We start from the raw sequence: 15,888 nt of genomic DNA, 5'->3' as shown, positions 1-15,888 counted from the left end.
TTTCTCATTCCTTTGACTCCACTGGACTTCATAGCCACAATGGTCTGGTATTGGGTCTGATCACCCCAACAAGTGGCATGATCTCAGCTTTGCCACCCGGGTTCAAGGGAATCTCCTGCCTCAGCCTTTTGAGTAGCTGAAATTACAGGTACCATGCCACCATGCCCGGCTAATTTTTTAATTTTTAGTAGAGACAGGTTTCACCATGTTGGTCATGCTGGTCTCGAACTCCTGACCTCGTGATCTGCCTGCCTCAGCCTCCCAAAGTGCTGAGATTACAGGCATGAGCCCCCATGCCTGGCCAGGTGTTTTCTATGGCTGAGTGATTTCAAACAGAATTCCAAGCCTTAGCTTTAAGAATGCTAGCTATCAGCCAAGCGCAGTGGCTCATGCCGGTAATCCTAGCACTTTGGGAGGACGAGGCGGATGCATCACAAGGTCAAGATTTCAACACCAGCCTGTCCAAGACAGTGAAACCCTGTCTCTACTAAAAATACAAAAATTATCCAGGCGCGATGGCAGGCACCTGTAATCTCAGCTACTTGGGAGGCTGAGGCAGAGAATTGCTTGAACCTGGGAGGTGGAGGTTGCCGTGAGCCAAGATCACACCACTGCACTCCAGCCTGGGCAACAGAGATAGACTCCATAAAAAAAAAAAAAAAAGAAAGAAAGAAAATCTCTCTTCTGTTTTGACTGTAGACAATAAACATATTTCCACAGGAAAATGTGGTAGATAATTGATGAGTTACATAGACTTGTCAAAACATCAGTTCCTCTTTTTGCAGGGTAAATTTGTGACAGTGAATATCTCAGTTCTATATCATGTTGTCTTGATTTCTGAATTAAATGCTAAATTATATGTGATGAAACATGGTATCTTCTACAAGTTTTCTCATATGACTAATTTTTTACTACATTATTTTTAATAGAAATAATAAAATAATACATATATTGTCTGAAAGAAGTAGATATATTTGCTTTTCTTATGGAGGAATAAAATGTAAGCATCTTAGCCAGGTACACTGGCTCATAACTGTAATCCCAACACTTTGGGAAGCCTAGGCGGTTTGATCACTTAAGGTCAGGAGTTTGAGACCAGCCTGCCCAACATGGCGAAACCCCGTCTCTACTAAAATTACAAAAATTAGCCGAGTGTGGTGGCGCATGACTGTAGTCCCAGCTACTTGGAAGACTGAGGCAGGAGAATGGCTTGAACACGGGAGGTGGAGGCTGCAGTGAGCTGAGATTGTGCCATTGCACTCCAGCCTGGGTGACAGAGAGAGACTCCATCTCAAAAAAAAAAACCATTAAAAAAAAGTGAGCACTTTAAATTTCCTTCCCTTATGTAAACACTTTGAGTAGTTTCACCGGATTTTTCAGTTAGTTTCAACACCAAGTGAATACCTCTGACATGGAAATTAAAGTTTTAACCAAGAGACTCCAAGCTAAGGCTAATATTAAGCCAGAAAGAGGAAGTTATTAAAGGTCCAGTTCGTTTTTCTTTTTTTTTAATTTCTTCTTCTTTGTTTTTTTTTTTTTGACAAAGTCTCACACTGTCACCTCGGTTGGAGTACACTGGCGTGATCTCGGCTCACTGCAACCTCTGCCTCCTGGGTTCAAGTGACTCTCTTGCCTCAGCCTCGTGAGTAGCTGGGATTACAGGTGCCTGCCACGACACCTGGCTAATTTTTTGTATTTTTAGTAGATACAGGGTTTCATTATGTTGGCCAGGCTGCTCTCAAACGCCTGACCGTGTGATCCACCTGCCTCAGCCTCCCAAAGTGCTGCAATTACAGGCGTGAGCCACCGCATCTGACCATACCACATTTTCCTTATCCAGTCTATCATAGATAGCCATTCAGGACCCGTCCATGCCTTTGCTATTGTGAATAGTGCTGCAATAAACATGCATGTGGATATGTCTTTATAATAATTTATATTTCTTTGGGTATATACCCAATTATGAGGTTCCTGAGTCAAATGATAATTCTGTTTTTAATTCTGTGAGGAATCACCACACTGCTTTTTACAGCTGTTGAACTAATTTACACTCCCACCAGCAGAGTATAAGCATTCCCTTTTCTCTGCAACCTTGCCAGCATCTGTTATTTTTTGACATTTAAAAAATAGCCATTCTGATGGGTATGATGCAGTATCTCATTGTGGTTTTTCTTTTAATTTCTCTAATAATTAGCAATGAGCATTTTTTTCACATGCTTGTTAACTGCACATTTGTCTTCTTTTGAAAAGAATATGTTCATTTTTTTTCTACTTTTTAATGAGGTTGTTTGTTTTTTTTCTTGTAAACTTGTTTGAGCTCTTAATAAATTCTGGATATTAATCCTTTGTCAGAGGCAAAGTTTGCAAATATTTTCTTTTATTCTGTAGGTTGTCTCTTTACTCTGTTGATAGTTTCCTTTGCTGTGAAGAAGCTCTTTAGTTTAAATAGGTCCCATTTGTCAATTTTTGCTTTTGTGGCAATAGCTTTTGGAAGCTTCATCATGAAGTCTTTGCCAGTTTCTATGTCTAGAACAGTATTTTTTAGGTTATATTGCAGGGTTTCTTATAATTTTAAGTTTTACATTTAAGTCTTTAATTTATCTTGAGCTGATTTTTGTATATGGTGTAATGAAGGGGTCCAGTTTCTGTCTTCTACATAGTGCTAGGTAGTTATTCCAGCATCATTTATTAAAGAGAGAATTCTTCCCACTTTTCTCTTGTCAGGTTTGACAAAAATCTGATGGTTGTAGGAGGGTGGCATTATTTCTGGTCTCTCTATTCTGTTGCAAAGGTCTTTTGCATGCATGGATTTTTTTATAACATCATTCTCTCTTGTGTTTTTCTCCCATAAGCATCACCTTAAGTGCATATAGTGTGCAAAATTCAGGTGTCCAAGAGTTCAAAAACTCTTTAAAAAGTATCAAAAAGCTATTTTACTATTCTCTCTTTTCTTAAGGCATTTTGATTATATGTAGATATTTTTCTCTGCTTTTTTGAAATATATGTAAATTATATTAACAGTTAAATAAACCTTTAGTCATTTTTTCAGACTCCAGATTATCTTTATCTAGTACTTCAGGTTTTTTGCTTTCTTTTTGCTTCTGAAAAGTTTATCTTTTTCATTTTTAGTCCTTTAAAGTAGACACAGATGGTTTAGATAAATGCTCATTTTAAGAGCACACAGATGCTTAGCACAAAGATAGGATTAAATTTTGCAATACAGAATGATAAAGACTGAAAGATACTAAGTTTCTTTGAAAGAAATCTGATTATCCAAGGTAATTACCCAATATTTGCAGGCTGAAGGACTTATACGGTGAAAGCAAAAACAGTTCAGTGCATAAACTGAACAGTAGAGTCTGTAGTTGTATCTTGCTTTCTATTTATTACTTCAGAACGATTAGCATAGTTATGTGTAGGGTTTGTAAACAAATTGCATTCATATACATTAAACAGTATTTTATTTTTTTTGAGACAGAGTCTCACCATGTCGTCCAGGTTGGAGTGCAGTGGCATGATCTTGGATCACTGAAACCACCGCCTCTCAGGTTCAAGCGACTCTCCTGCCTTAGCCTCTCAAGTACCTGGCATTACAGGCATGTGCCACCATGCCTGGCTAAGTTTTTGTATTTTTAGTATAGATGAGGGTCTCATGTTGGCCAGCTTGATCTTGAACTCCCGACCTCAGGTGGTCCAACCGCCTCACTCCTCCAAAGTGCTGGGATTACAGGCGTGACCTGTAAACAGTATTTTCTACATAATATGAATATAAAGCCACAATACTTACTTTGAATGAATCACTTAAGTTGTTATTTTAATATTGTTATTTATACTTTTGAAATATAGTGTTTTAACTGAAGTATAGTTGAATTTTTTTTTTTTTTTTTTTTTTAGACGGAGTCTCACTTTTTTGTCCTGGCTAGACCACAGTGCTGCAATCTCATCTCACTGCAACCTCTGCCTCCTGGGTTCAAGCGATTCTTCTGCCTTAGCCTCCCGGGTAGCTGGGACCACAGGCAGGCTCCACCATGCCTGGCTAAAATTTTTGTATTTTTAGTAGAGACAGGGTTTCACCATATAGGCCAAGCTGGTCTCAAACTCCTGACCTCATGATCTGCACGCTTAGGCCTCCCAAAGTGCTGGGATTATAGATGTGAGACACCGTGCCTGGCTATAGTTGCAATTTTTTAAAATGCTACATACATTATGACTAGTTCATTAAAATTATTCATACTTAGATACTTATACCTAATATCCAAAGAAAATTTACTACCAAATTGTTACAGTAGATATTAGTGTGACATGTTTATTACTTTATTCAATAGGGATAATTATGAATTAACACAACTTTAGTATCTTTTATTGCACTAAATTGGAATGCTGCTATTACAGGAAAAATAAAGACAGGTGATGTGGCCACCCAAAACCAATAATAGCTATTCAGTTAACTATGTTACAAGTTCTTTTATTTTTATTTTTTTTTTTGAGATGGAGTTTCACTCTGTCACCCAGGCTGGAGTGCAGTGGCATGATCTCGGCTCACTGCAACCTCCACCCTCCAGGTTCAAATGATTCTCCTTCCTCAGCCTCCTGAGTAGCTGGGACTACAGGCGCCTGCCACCGTGCCTGGCTACTTTTTTGTATTTTTAGTAGAGATGGGGTTTCACCATCTTGGCCAGGCTGGTCTTGAACTCCTGACCTCGTGATCCACCCACCTCTGCCTCCCAAAGTGCTGGGATTACAGGCGTGAGCCACCACGCCCAGCCTACAAGTTCTAATATATTCCACTCTATGAAAACAGTCAGATTCTATTTCTTCATCAAAAAGTGTTGTTGGAAGTTGTCAGATGTATTTCAATATAGAACTCCATTCACTGGCTAGGAGATGAGAGAGCACCAAAGATGGAAAAAAAACTTTATAAAATTCTTCTGAAAATCTGCCTTCTTTCTTCCTGAAGCTCATGTTTCTCATGCTGAGAGTAGCTGTGCACTTTGGGTGTTTAGAGAGAAATTGCTTTTAGGGGAATATTTTTTGACTGACTTGATCAATCATATCTAATCTGAGCTTTTTCTTAAGATCTTTATAATATTTTTCTATGAAAATAATCTTGCTCAGATCAAGATCTCATTTTTCTCTCCAATGCTTTGGGTGTGTGTTTCAGAAGCCCTATTAGTGTCCCATGGTGTCAGATTAAGGTGGGCTGTCACAATGAGAATTTTTGCAGCTATCACTATCTGGACTCATGCTGAAAATTCAGCTTTATCTTTTCCTTGTCATCTCTATACGTAGAAATTGACGCTGAAACACTGCTCACATTCTCATGATTGTGAAGGTGTAATTCTACCCAGGAGGCCTGCAGGCTCTCCTCCTGCAGCTCAGGCCTCACTCTCTGATGTGACACTAGAGTGCTGCTGTGGCAAATAGGATTCACATAAAATGTGAGCTGTGGTTTGTGCCTCAGTGGCAGATGGTAGAGGCCAAGAGAGGACACTAGCAACCAGGAGAAAGCAAGCAGGAGTGCTGTAGCCCAGTGCCAGGGAGTACAGAGCCACTGCTCTAAAATGTAAGTAGCCAAAAAGATAGAACACTATTCAACCATTTTTGTAGCAGAGTGAAAGCCTACCTTCAGCAGGCACCTGGCTTCAAGCTGCTAAACTACATCCTATTATGAAGATGTGAAAAGTTTTTGTCATTGAATATAAGTAATTAGCATACACAGATGGCCTCTTCAGTATCCAGGTGAATTTAGGATGAACTATGTATGACATGGTGCTGGAAATTCTTCTACTTGTGGCCTAATTATAGTGACCATCTTTCCGTCTCTTAAGCAGATTGATGAAGATCCGTGTCACATTCAAGTTCAATTGTGTAATAAAACAGTTTCTTTCTATTCTATTATTGTGGAGTTTCTCTGGGGTGGAGAAAAATTTTCATTTAATTATTGTTTCCAAACACTGTCTAGAATTACCAGACATGATATAAACACATAAGGTGACATCCAGAATTTACTCTAGAGGAGACTTTCCCTCTCAGGCTTCCAGTCAGCTCAGAGTTGTGCAGCAAAGTGCATGCTGTCCCCTAAATATGCAGGCAGAATTGTGTCTCTGCCTAGTTGGCATTCATAGTCCTCTGCAGTCACTTCTAGAGAGGCTAGATCACATTTCTACAAACTTCACAGGGCAGCAATCAATCATTTTACCTCTTTCACTGACTCTTGTATCTTCAGACTGGAACTGATACAGAAACTATTTGGCCCAGAAACCCAATCAGAGTAACGTGTGTGCATTGAGTAGACATATAGACATGAGAATCTCCACTTTCCCCTTCCTCCTCTTGCCAAAGTGCTCACAAATGTACAGGTAACACCTGCTGCTACTCCAGCCATTCAGGCCCTAAATGTGCAGCTCCAAATTTTGAATTTAGATCTTGAGATTTGGGAAATAAAAAACTTTTATCTAAAAAATGCAAGTCCTTTTGGTTATCAAATTCAGAGAGATGAAAATAAAAGTGCAGTTATTTCTCCCCTCTTTGAACTATGTATTCATGTCTTGAAACTGTTCACTATTGCCACAAGTAGCTATAAATTAAACTAATAATGCCACATTGGACACTATATCCCATACCCTAAACCATAACGATATATATCTAATCAATAATCAATGCTATTTCTGTAAATAAATAAACATTTCTGACAAACAACTTTGTATTATCTTTTAATGGTAGGTTGTATTGACATTTTTGAAAAATAAAATTTTTTGACCCCTGAGCAAAAATATATTGAAGTGTTTTATATATACATATTTTTGAACTTTCCAGTTTGACTTTTGCTTTTAATTCCTAGTTTAATTCAGTTTTTGTTAGAAAATACACAGTGTATGGCCGGGCGTGGTGGCTCATGCCTGTAATCCCAGTACTTTCAGAGGCCGAGGCAGGCAGATCACCTGAGGTCAGGAGTTTGAGATCAGCCTCAACATGGAGAAACCCCATCTCTACTAAAAATACAAAATTAGCCTGGTGTGGTGGTGCATGCCTGTAATCCCAGCTACTTGGGAGGCTGAGGCAGAAGAATTGCTTGAACCTGTGAGGCCGAGGTTGCGGTGAGCCAAGATCGTGCCACTGCACTCCAGCCTGGGCAACGAGAGCGAAACTCCATCTCAAAAAAAAAAAAAAAAGGTGGCCAGGTGCGGTGGCTCCGCCTGTAATCCCAGCACTTTGGGAGGCCGAGGTGGGAGGATCATGAGGTCAGGAGATCGAGACCATCCTGGCTAACATGGTGAAACCCTGTTCTCTACTAAAAGTACAAAAAATTAGCCGGGTGAGGTGTCAGACGCCTATAGTCCCAGCTACTTGGGAGGCTGAGGCAGGAGAATGGCCTGAACCCGGGAGGTGGAGCTTGCAGTGAGCCGAGATCACAGCACTGCACTCCAGCCTGGGCAACAGAGCGAGACTCCGTCTCCAAAAAAAAAAAAAAAAAAAAAAATTTGAGAGGTGTCTTCTAACTCAACATGTCTTTTCCATCTGAAAAATATTCATAATTCCTGGTGGATCCTCTTACCTTGGTCTCCTAAAGTGTTAAGATTATAGGCAAGAGCCACTGTACCCAGTCAGTATTTTAAAATTTAATAAAACCTGCTATGTGCCCTAACAAAATACACCAGATGAAAATAAGAATATTGTGCATTATCTTGGTTTTGACTGGGGAGTTTTGTGTGTGTCTGCGAACGCTAGTTGGTCTATAATATGGTTTGGATGTCCATGTTTTCCAAACCTCATGCTGCAATATAAATCCTCAATGTTGAATGTGGGACCTGGTGGGACACATTTGGGTCATAGGGGCAAATTTTTCATGAATGGCTTGGTACATCCTCTTGGTAACCAAAAAGTTTACACTCTATTAATTCAAATGAGAGCTGGTTCATTAAAAGAACCTGGCTTCTTCACCTCACACTTGCTCTGTCTCTTACCATATAATATATCCAGTTACTCTTTACCTTCCACCATGATTTTAAGCTTCCTGAAATCCTCACCAGAAGCAGATGCTGGCACACACTTATACAGTTTGCCAAACTGTGAGCCATCTAAACCTTTTTTCTTTATAAATTATGCACTCTCAAATATTCATCTATATGCAAAATAATTAATATAGTCTATAATGGTGTCTAGGTTTTCTGTTTCTTATTTTTTATCTAAACTTTCTATTTATTATTGCAAATGGGGTTTTGATGTTTACAATTATGTTGCTATGTATGTCTTGCTTCACTTTTGTCAATAGTTGCTTTATATATTTTGGAGCCCTGATGTTATATACACATATATATATAGATAAGTAAATATTATAGTTATAGATTCCTGGTAAATCAACTCACTTTAACATAATATAACGTCAATCTTTGTCTCATGGTACTACCTGACTTAAAGCATATTATGTCTAATATAATTATGACCACTGCACTCAATCGTGGTTACTATTTTCATGGAATGTACATTTTTTTCATTCTGTTACTTTCAGCCTATTTGACTCAATGCTTAAATGAATCTCTTGTAGGCAGCATAGCGTATGCTTTTTAAAAAACCGCACAAGCATTCTATTTCCTTTTTTTTATTATTTATTTATTTTTATTTATTTTTTTATTTTTTTGAGAGATGGAGTCTTGCTCTGTTGCCCAGGCTGGTGTGCAGTGGCACAATCTTGGCTCACTGCCACCTCCATTTCCCAGGTTCAAGTGATTCTCCTGCCTCAGCCTCCTGAATATCTGGGACTACAGATGCGTGCCACCATACCCAACTATCTTTTGTATTTTTAGTAGAGATGGGGTTTCACCATATTGGCCAGGCTGGTCTTGAACTCCTGACCTCATGATCCTCCCACCTCAGCCTCCCAAAGTGCTGGGATTACAGGCGAGAGCCACTGTACCCAGCCTATATATGTATTTATTTATTTTGCGACGGAGTTTTGCTCTTGTTGCCCAGGCTGGAGTGCAATGGTGCAATCTCTGCTCACTGCAAACTCCACCTCCTGGGTTCAAGCAATTCTCCTGGCTTAGCCTCCTGAGTAGCTGGGATTACAGGTGTCTGCCACCACACCCTGCTAATTTTTTGTATTTTTAGAGAGACGGGGTTTCACCATGATGACCAGACTGGTCTTTAAGTCCTGACATCAAGTGATCTGCCTGCCTCAGTCTCCCAAAAGGCTGGGATTATAGGCATGAGCCACCATGCCCAGCCTCATTTATTTTTCAGAATGGAACTCACTGTGCCAACCAGGCTGATTTGCATATTTCACTGCTGCTTGAATCTCTCAAAGTCTGCTGATTATCTCATTTCAGTCTCTCAAATACCTGGATTACAAGTATGTGCCGTCACACCAGGCTAGCTTTTTTGTATTTTTTATAGAGACAGAGTTTTGCCATGTTGCCTAGGCCTGTCTTGAACTCCTGGGATCAAGTGATCAGCCTACCTTGGCCTTCCAAAGTCCTAAAATTACATTTCATTTTATTTTATTAAGTAGTTTAATTAACTTATATTTAAAATAATTGCTTAAAGAAATAAAGTTGTTATCCAGGCGCTGTGGCTCATGCCTGTAATCCCAGCACATTGGGAAACTGAGGTAGGTGGATCATCTGAGGTCAGGAGTTTGAGATCAGCCTGATCAATATGATGAAACCCTCTCTCTACTAAAAATGCAAAAGTTAGCCATGCGTGGTGGCATGTGCCTGTAGTCCAAGCTACTGGGAAAGCTGAGACAAAAGAATTACTTGAACCGCGGAGGCAGAGGTTGCAGTGAGCCAAGATTGTGCCATTGCACTCCAGCATGGGCAACAAGAGGGAAACTCTGTCTAAAACCAAAAAAAAAAAAAAAAAAATTGTTTGTTAATTATATTGTTATCATTTTATGTGTTTCTAGGAGCTATTTTTTTCTCATTTCCTATTTGACTTTCTTCATTTAGCTTTGTACTGGCATGCTTTGAAATGTGGCTAAGTACCAAGTACCATTATATTTGCTTCCATCATCACCATCTTTCTTCTGAAAAGAGACCTAGAATTCTTTTTCATTACCATAAATACCCAAATTCTGCCACAAAGACAAAAAAACAAGAGTGTGATTTTACATCACACACTCTTGGAAAAAAAGAGTTCTTGTCTTGATGGAAGTTCTAAAGACTAGGTGAGAGATTAAATCACTACCAGGAGCTAGATAATTGCTGTTTTACTAACAAATGTTCATTTTCATTTCTGTATTGTCTCAAGTTATGTCAATAATGAAGCAAAAACCTTTATGCAGATAATTTCAAAAAAACTTATTTTTGTTTTTTTAATTTTTTAATGCTTTTGACATTAAAAAAATCTGATTTTATTTTCTGAATCAAAAAGAAGTATTTCATGTTAAATTTAGACTGTTTAGCTTTCCACTGATATCTCAAGATACTTTCCAGATATTAGCAGAACTCAGAACTGTGTAAAAGTTAACCACCAATACCATGTTTTAAAGAAAAAAGTTTAAATGTAAGACTAATGTCTTGGGGACATTACTAAATGTATTTCTAAGAAACCCTTCTCAAAGGTCAAAGTATTGGCAATTCTAATTTAAAAATTTAAAATTTTTAATTATTGGAAATTTAAGTAACAATAGTTTCAAGAGCTAAGAATCAGATTGCTTTTTAAAACAGATTTTTTTTTTCCTGAGGGATTCATACTTGACAACAACTCCAGTTAAACATAATACTCCACCCAAATCCCAAATTTAAATGCATTATGTCACCTTGGAATAGTAAAATTATAAAATGGTATTTCTAAATTATAATATATATACATAATACACCATTTTAACTGTCACGTTTCCCAGCAGAATTATGAAATCAAAAACAAATTCTACATTCAAGGGACAAATGATAAATGCTCTTTCATTGTTTTAAGAGTCCATTCAATTCTTTGTTGTTTTTTACTCCCACATTTTAAAATTATGACCAAAGGACAAATGGCCAAGTCAATCCCATTTCCCTGAACACAATTGCCAGTAGGTACTGGCCCTACATGTGCATCCTTTAACAAGCTCTGTTCTCAAAAAGCTGGGGATATTTATATAAGAACTTAGTCTAAAGTGACTCAAAGATCCATGTTCCTAAGATCTAGTATGGGCTATTCATGTGTTCTGAGGCATGTCCAGCATGCAGGCAAACTTATCTTTTCAAATTGAGGTAAAACAGACAAAAAACACTTAATATTAACAGAAGTTACATAATTAAAACTAACCTTTTGCTGCTTATTTAAGCTAATTATGTATTCTTACCAAACAGAGACCCTCAAGTCAATAATTTCTTTTGAATTTAGTCACCCCAAATTAAGCCTCTTCTTTCAAAGCCATTATTAGTTTAAAAAAAAGTTTTAAAATGAAGAAAAATATTTTTTTCCAGAATTTGTTCTCAGGCCTCTGAGCCAAAGCTAAGCCATTATATCCCCTGTGACCTGCACATACAAATCCAGATGGGTGGTTCCTGCCTTAACTGATGACATTCCACCACAAAAGAAGTGAAAATGGCCAGTCCTTGCCTTAAGTGATGACATTATCTTGTGAAATTCCTTCTCCTGGCTCATCCTGGCTCAGAAACTCCCCCACTGAGCACCTTGTGACCCCCACTCCTGCCCTCCAGAGAACAACCCCCCTTTGACTGTAATTTTCCTTTATCTACCCAAATCTTATAAAACGACCCCACCCTTATCTCCCTTGGCTGACTCTCTTTTCAGACTCAGCCCACCTGCACCCAGGTGAAATAAACAGCCTTGTTGCTCACACAAAGCCTGTTTGTTGGTCTCCACACGGATGCGAGAGAAACTTGTATTTTGTAATTAGTGTGATGTAGTTTCTTTTTATTTTTCAAACTTAGAAATAATTCATGTATGGGTACTATTTGATATTTTTTTCAGATACCAAGGAATATCAACAGGATTCATAAATAGGATTTTCTGACACTGACAGGAAAGTCTGCTAATGTTTACAAAATACCAAAGACTCTTCTTTCAAGCTTCAAAGATGGCTGAAAATTAAGTTATGATTAGTTTTTCAGTACAAATAAAAAATTTAAATCTTGATTTTTTTGGCCAACATTTTAAACAGTCAAATTAGGTTTCAAATCAAAACAAATAAAACAACTAATGAAAATTACCCAATCGGTCAGGAGATAAGACCATCCTGGCTAACAGAGTGAAACCCCGTCTCTATTAAATATACAAAAAATTAGCGGGGCGTGTTGGCGGGCACCTGTAGTCCCAGCTACCCTGGAGGCTGAGGCAGAAGAATGGTGTGAACCCAGGAGGTGGAGCTTGCAGTGAGTTGAGATCATGCCACTGAACTCCAGCCTGGGCGACAGAGCAAGACGCTGTCTCAAAAAAAAAAAAAAAAAGAAAGAAAAATGAAAATTACCCAATTGGCAACAAGTCCTGTATTCCAACGTTATTTTTAAACCACCAATTATAACCTACTGCCAGTAATTATTTATAAGTACCTGCTTGTTTTATTACACACTGGTCAGTTATATAAGAGAATAATTTGCAAGAATGATACTTGGCAATGGGTTACCTTAATGCTTCCGGAATAAACAGAAGCATTAACAAAACACCAGATCTTAAGCACTTTCAAATCTGTAATTTGAATTACCCAAAGGATTTTTTTTTTTTTTTTTGAGACGGAGTCTCGCTCTGTCGCCCAGGCCGGACTGCGGACTGCAGTGGCGCAATCTCGGCTCACTGCAAGCTCCGCTTCCCGGGTTCACGCCATTCTCCTGCCTCAGCCTCCCGAGTAGCTGGGACTACAGGCGCCCGCCACCGCGCCCGGCTAATTTTTTGTATTTTTAGTAGAGACGGGGTTTCACCTTGTTAGCCAGGATGGTCTCGATCTCCTGACCTCATGATCCACCCGCCTCGGCCTCCCAAGGTGCTGGGATTACAGGCGTGAGCCACCGCGCCCGGCCAAGGATTTTTAAATGTTACTTTTCCATTGAAGGATTGTAGGGAGTCTAGTCCCAGCTAACGTGGTTGATTTTAAAAAACAAATAAATCCCTAAGCCACATAGTAATGGAATACTACACTTGCTTTTTTTATCATATGGAAACAGCTCCAGGCAGAGCACAAGTAGAAGAAAACCTGCCAAATCAAAATACTGTAAATAAAGTTCCTCTATGTACTCCAGTGTGAAAAACCTCAAAAATAAAAATCAGACCACCCACTGTTACCCTCCCCAGCAACAAAATCTACCCAAAACACTTTAGTTCTGAACCTAACATTTCACTAAGATGTTCACAGGAGAAGCTTTAAGGTACTTAAAGCTGCAGCAGTACAGTTGAAAGCACCACATTACAGAGGAAATGCTCTAAAGGGTTCAGCAGCTGCCCACCCATCCCAAACCACCCCCAATCCCAGTAATATGTAAAAGCTCCTGTTAAAGTTTTTTTCTTATGCTAATAAATGCGTACCACCTAGTGACTAGCAGCATTAGAGAGGTAAAGTGAAAATAGGAAGCCTACAGGAATATCTAAATGCCTACTTAGAAGAAACAAAGCAGCAGACAGAATCCTTAGCCCTCTAGTCTATGTAGGGAAGCAGTTGAATTAAATTCAGATTTACCCACATTAACAAAAATTTAACAAAGCTCCCCCAAGACACCAGAATAAAACTTGACCTTTCCAGTCAAAGGGTAGAGAAAGGCTTCTTCCATATCCTGGAGTTGAATGAGTTCAAAGATTGGCAATAAAAGAAAAAAGAAAGCATTACGGGTGTGATGGGAACAAGCTTTGGAGTTTATCGAACAGTCACACCAAGTTTCTCTAGCACAAGGACACCCTTTTCTTGGTACTCCTGTCGGGTCATCCAAAAATTGTCTTTGTCTTTCATGATATCCGCTAGAACTGCACCACCCAAGAATACCATGTGCTTTCTGCGGGATGGGTCTTCAATGCAGATCTTAAATTTAGGAAGTTTTTCCGCATCATCCTTCAAAACTCTTTCTAAGTAAAGCTGTTTAAGTTCTCGTTTCAACCGTGATGACAGGCCAGGATACATAGTAGACCCTCCAGAAAGCACAATGTGTTTGTAGAATTCAGATCTGGTATCAATGTCAGCCGCCTGAATTGTGTTAAAAAGCAATTCAGCAACACCAACTCCTTCAACATTGATCAAGTGAGGCTGAAATAAAGCTTCTGGTGTTTCAAATCTCTCTCCCCCAACTTTGATGATTCCTCCATCTGGGAGTGTATAAGATTCAACTAATACTGTGGTTTCTAAGGCCAGTTTCTGCTCTTGCACAATATTATATCCCACGTAACACAGTTTTTCTTTAATCATGCGAACCGTTTCAAAATCAGCAGAGTGGTTGAAGGTGTATCCTTGCAACAGAAGTAGCTTGATAAGATATCTAGTTATATCCCTCCCAGCAATATCCAGTCTCCTGGTAAGATGAGGGAGAGAAAAGCCTTCTAATACTGGGTAAATGTGAGTCACGCCATCTCCAGAGTCTACCACTACAGCAGTCAATAAACCTCGAGCGTACAAAGTCAGAACTGCCTGGATGGCTACATATACACCGGAAAACTGGTAAGTTTCAAACATTACCTCTACCATCTTCTCTCTGTTTTTGGTTGGGTTCATAAGAGGTTCTGTGAGTAATATTTTACAATTTCTGGTATCTATATTAGGTTTCTCTGGTCCAAATGTGTAGTCCCACAGGTGTTTCGTGTCATCCCAATTTCGTACTATGCCATTTTCCATAGGGTAGTTAACTTCTAACATTGATCGTAATTCACTTGCCTCATCACCAACCATAAGATCCTTGATTTCAATGTTTCCCACTTTGGTGGTTGATCTGATTGTTGTACCCTAGCGAGTTAGGAAAACGCCACACTTTGAGATGAATTAAGAGTCCTTTATTAGCCGGCGACCGAGAGACGGCTAACGTGCAAAGTTCTCTCGGCCCAGAGGAAGGGGCTTGATTAACTTTTATACCTTGGTTTAGGAAGGGGAGGGGTGTCTAGTTAGAACAATTTTACAGAAGTTAAGTAGTCAAAAAGTTAAAAGGTAAATGGTTACAGGAAAGTAAACAGTTCCAGGTGCAGGGGCTTTAAGACTATTACAAGGTGATAAACGCGGGGCTTTGGGCGTTATCAATCAGATGAATTCTTGGGGAGTGCGGATACAGCTTGCCACAGTATCTTATCAGTTAATTGCATTCTTGGATGTGCTGGGAGTCACCTTGCACAAGTTAAGTCCTTGAGGAAGGGGCTGCCAGTGAAAGAGCCAAGATGGAGTTTGTCTGGTTCTCTTAGCTAAGGGAGAAACAAGGCTAGGTAAATAAAGGAAAAAACAAGGTTGGGCATTACATGATAATAGATCTTCCAACCAAAGCTGGGAAGATGTGTTCTGGAAAGTTGGAGCCTGCATATCCACACTTCACAAACCCAGTGTCATTGTCGCACACCACCACCTTCCTGCTCTGGCTGTCCATCGTCCACCCAGGGAAGAGCCGCTGCCGCCGCACAACCTACAGCCGCTGCCGCCCTGCCGTTTTCTCTTCTTCCAAAACTTATTTTTAAATCAGCCATAATAGTAATCAAAGACAGAGAAAAGAAGATTTTTAATATTCATAATTTATATTTTAAAACGAACATGCTTCTAGAAATAAAGAAGGAAAGGAAGAAAGAAATATACAAACAAATAAAAGGTAGCCTGGTCAACATGGTGAAAGCCTGCCTTTACTAAAAATACAAAAATTAGCTAAGTGTGGTGGTGCACACCTGTAATCTCAGCTACTCAGGAGGCTGAGGCACTAGAATCACTGGAACCTGGGAGGCGGAGGTTGGGCGCGGTGGCAGGAGCCTGTAGTCCCAGCTACTCGGGAGGCT

General features: G+C 39.3%; 1 long non-coding RNA gene and 2 pseudogenes across 2 annotated transcripts in view, besides 1 other annotated feature; 1 reads left to right on the top strand and 2 right to left on the bottom strand.

Moving 5' to 3' along the window:
- The first annotated feature begins 1,382 nt into the window (after positions 1–1,382).
- The window catches only part of LOC105372310 (uncharacterized), a 148,126-nt gene continuing 133,620 nt past the window's right edge, over positions 1,383–15,888 (top strand). For both annotated transcript variants that reach the window (XR_007067164.1, XR_001754065.2), the window contains exon 1: positions 1,383–1,485. This is a non-coding gene — a long non-coding RNA (uncharacterized LOC105372310). The remainder of the gene's footprint in view (positions 1,486–15,888) is intronic.
- BNIP3P18 (BCL2 interacting protein 3 pseudogene 18) lies at positions 4,820–5,394 on the bottom strand (annotated as a pseudogene).
- Positions 10,330–15,564, bottom strand: ACTR2P2 (ACTR2 pseudogene 2; annotated as a pseudogene).
- Positions 11,267–11,892: an enhancer, noted in NCBI's record as "OCT4-NANOG hESC enhancer chr19:20372128-20372753 (GRCh37/hg19 assembly coordinates)". NCBI's record gives its function as "activates a minimal SCP1, AML or CMV promoter by ChIP-STARR-seq in naive H9 embryonic stem cells {active_cell/tissue: H9 hESC(naive)}" and the evidence as "EXISTENCE:reporter gene assay evidence [ECO:0000049][PMID:30033119]".

The sequence above is a fragment of the Homo sapiens genome, chromosome 19 (genome assembly GCF_000001405.40).
Source record: "Homo sapiens chromosome 19, GRCh38.p14 Primary Assembly".
In the NCBI taxonomy this organism is placed as follows: Eukaryota; Metazoa; Chordata; class Mammalia; order Primates; family Hominidae; genus Homo; species Homo sapiens.
The sequence above is the reverse complement of the archived record's forward strand: the minus strand, read 5'-3'. Positions and strand labels throughout refer to the sequence as shown.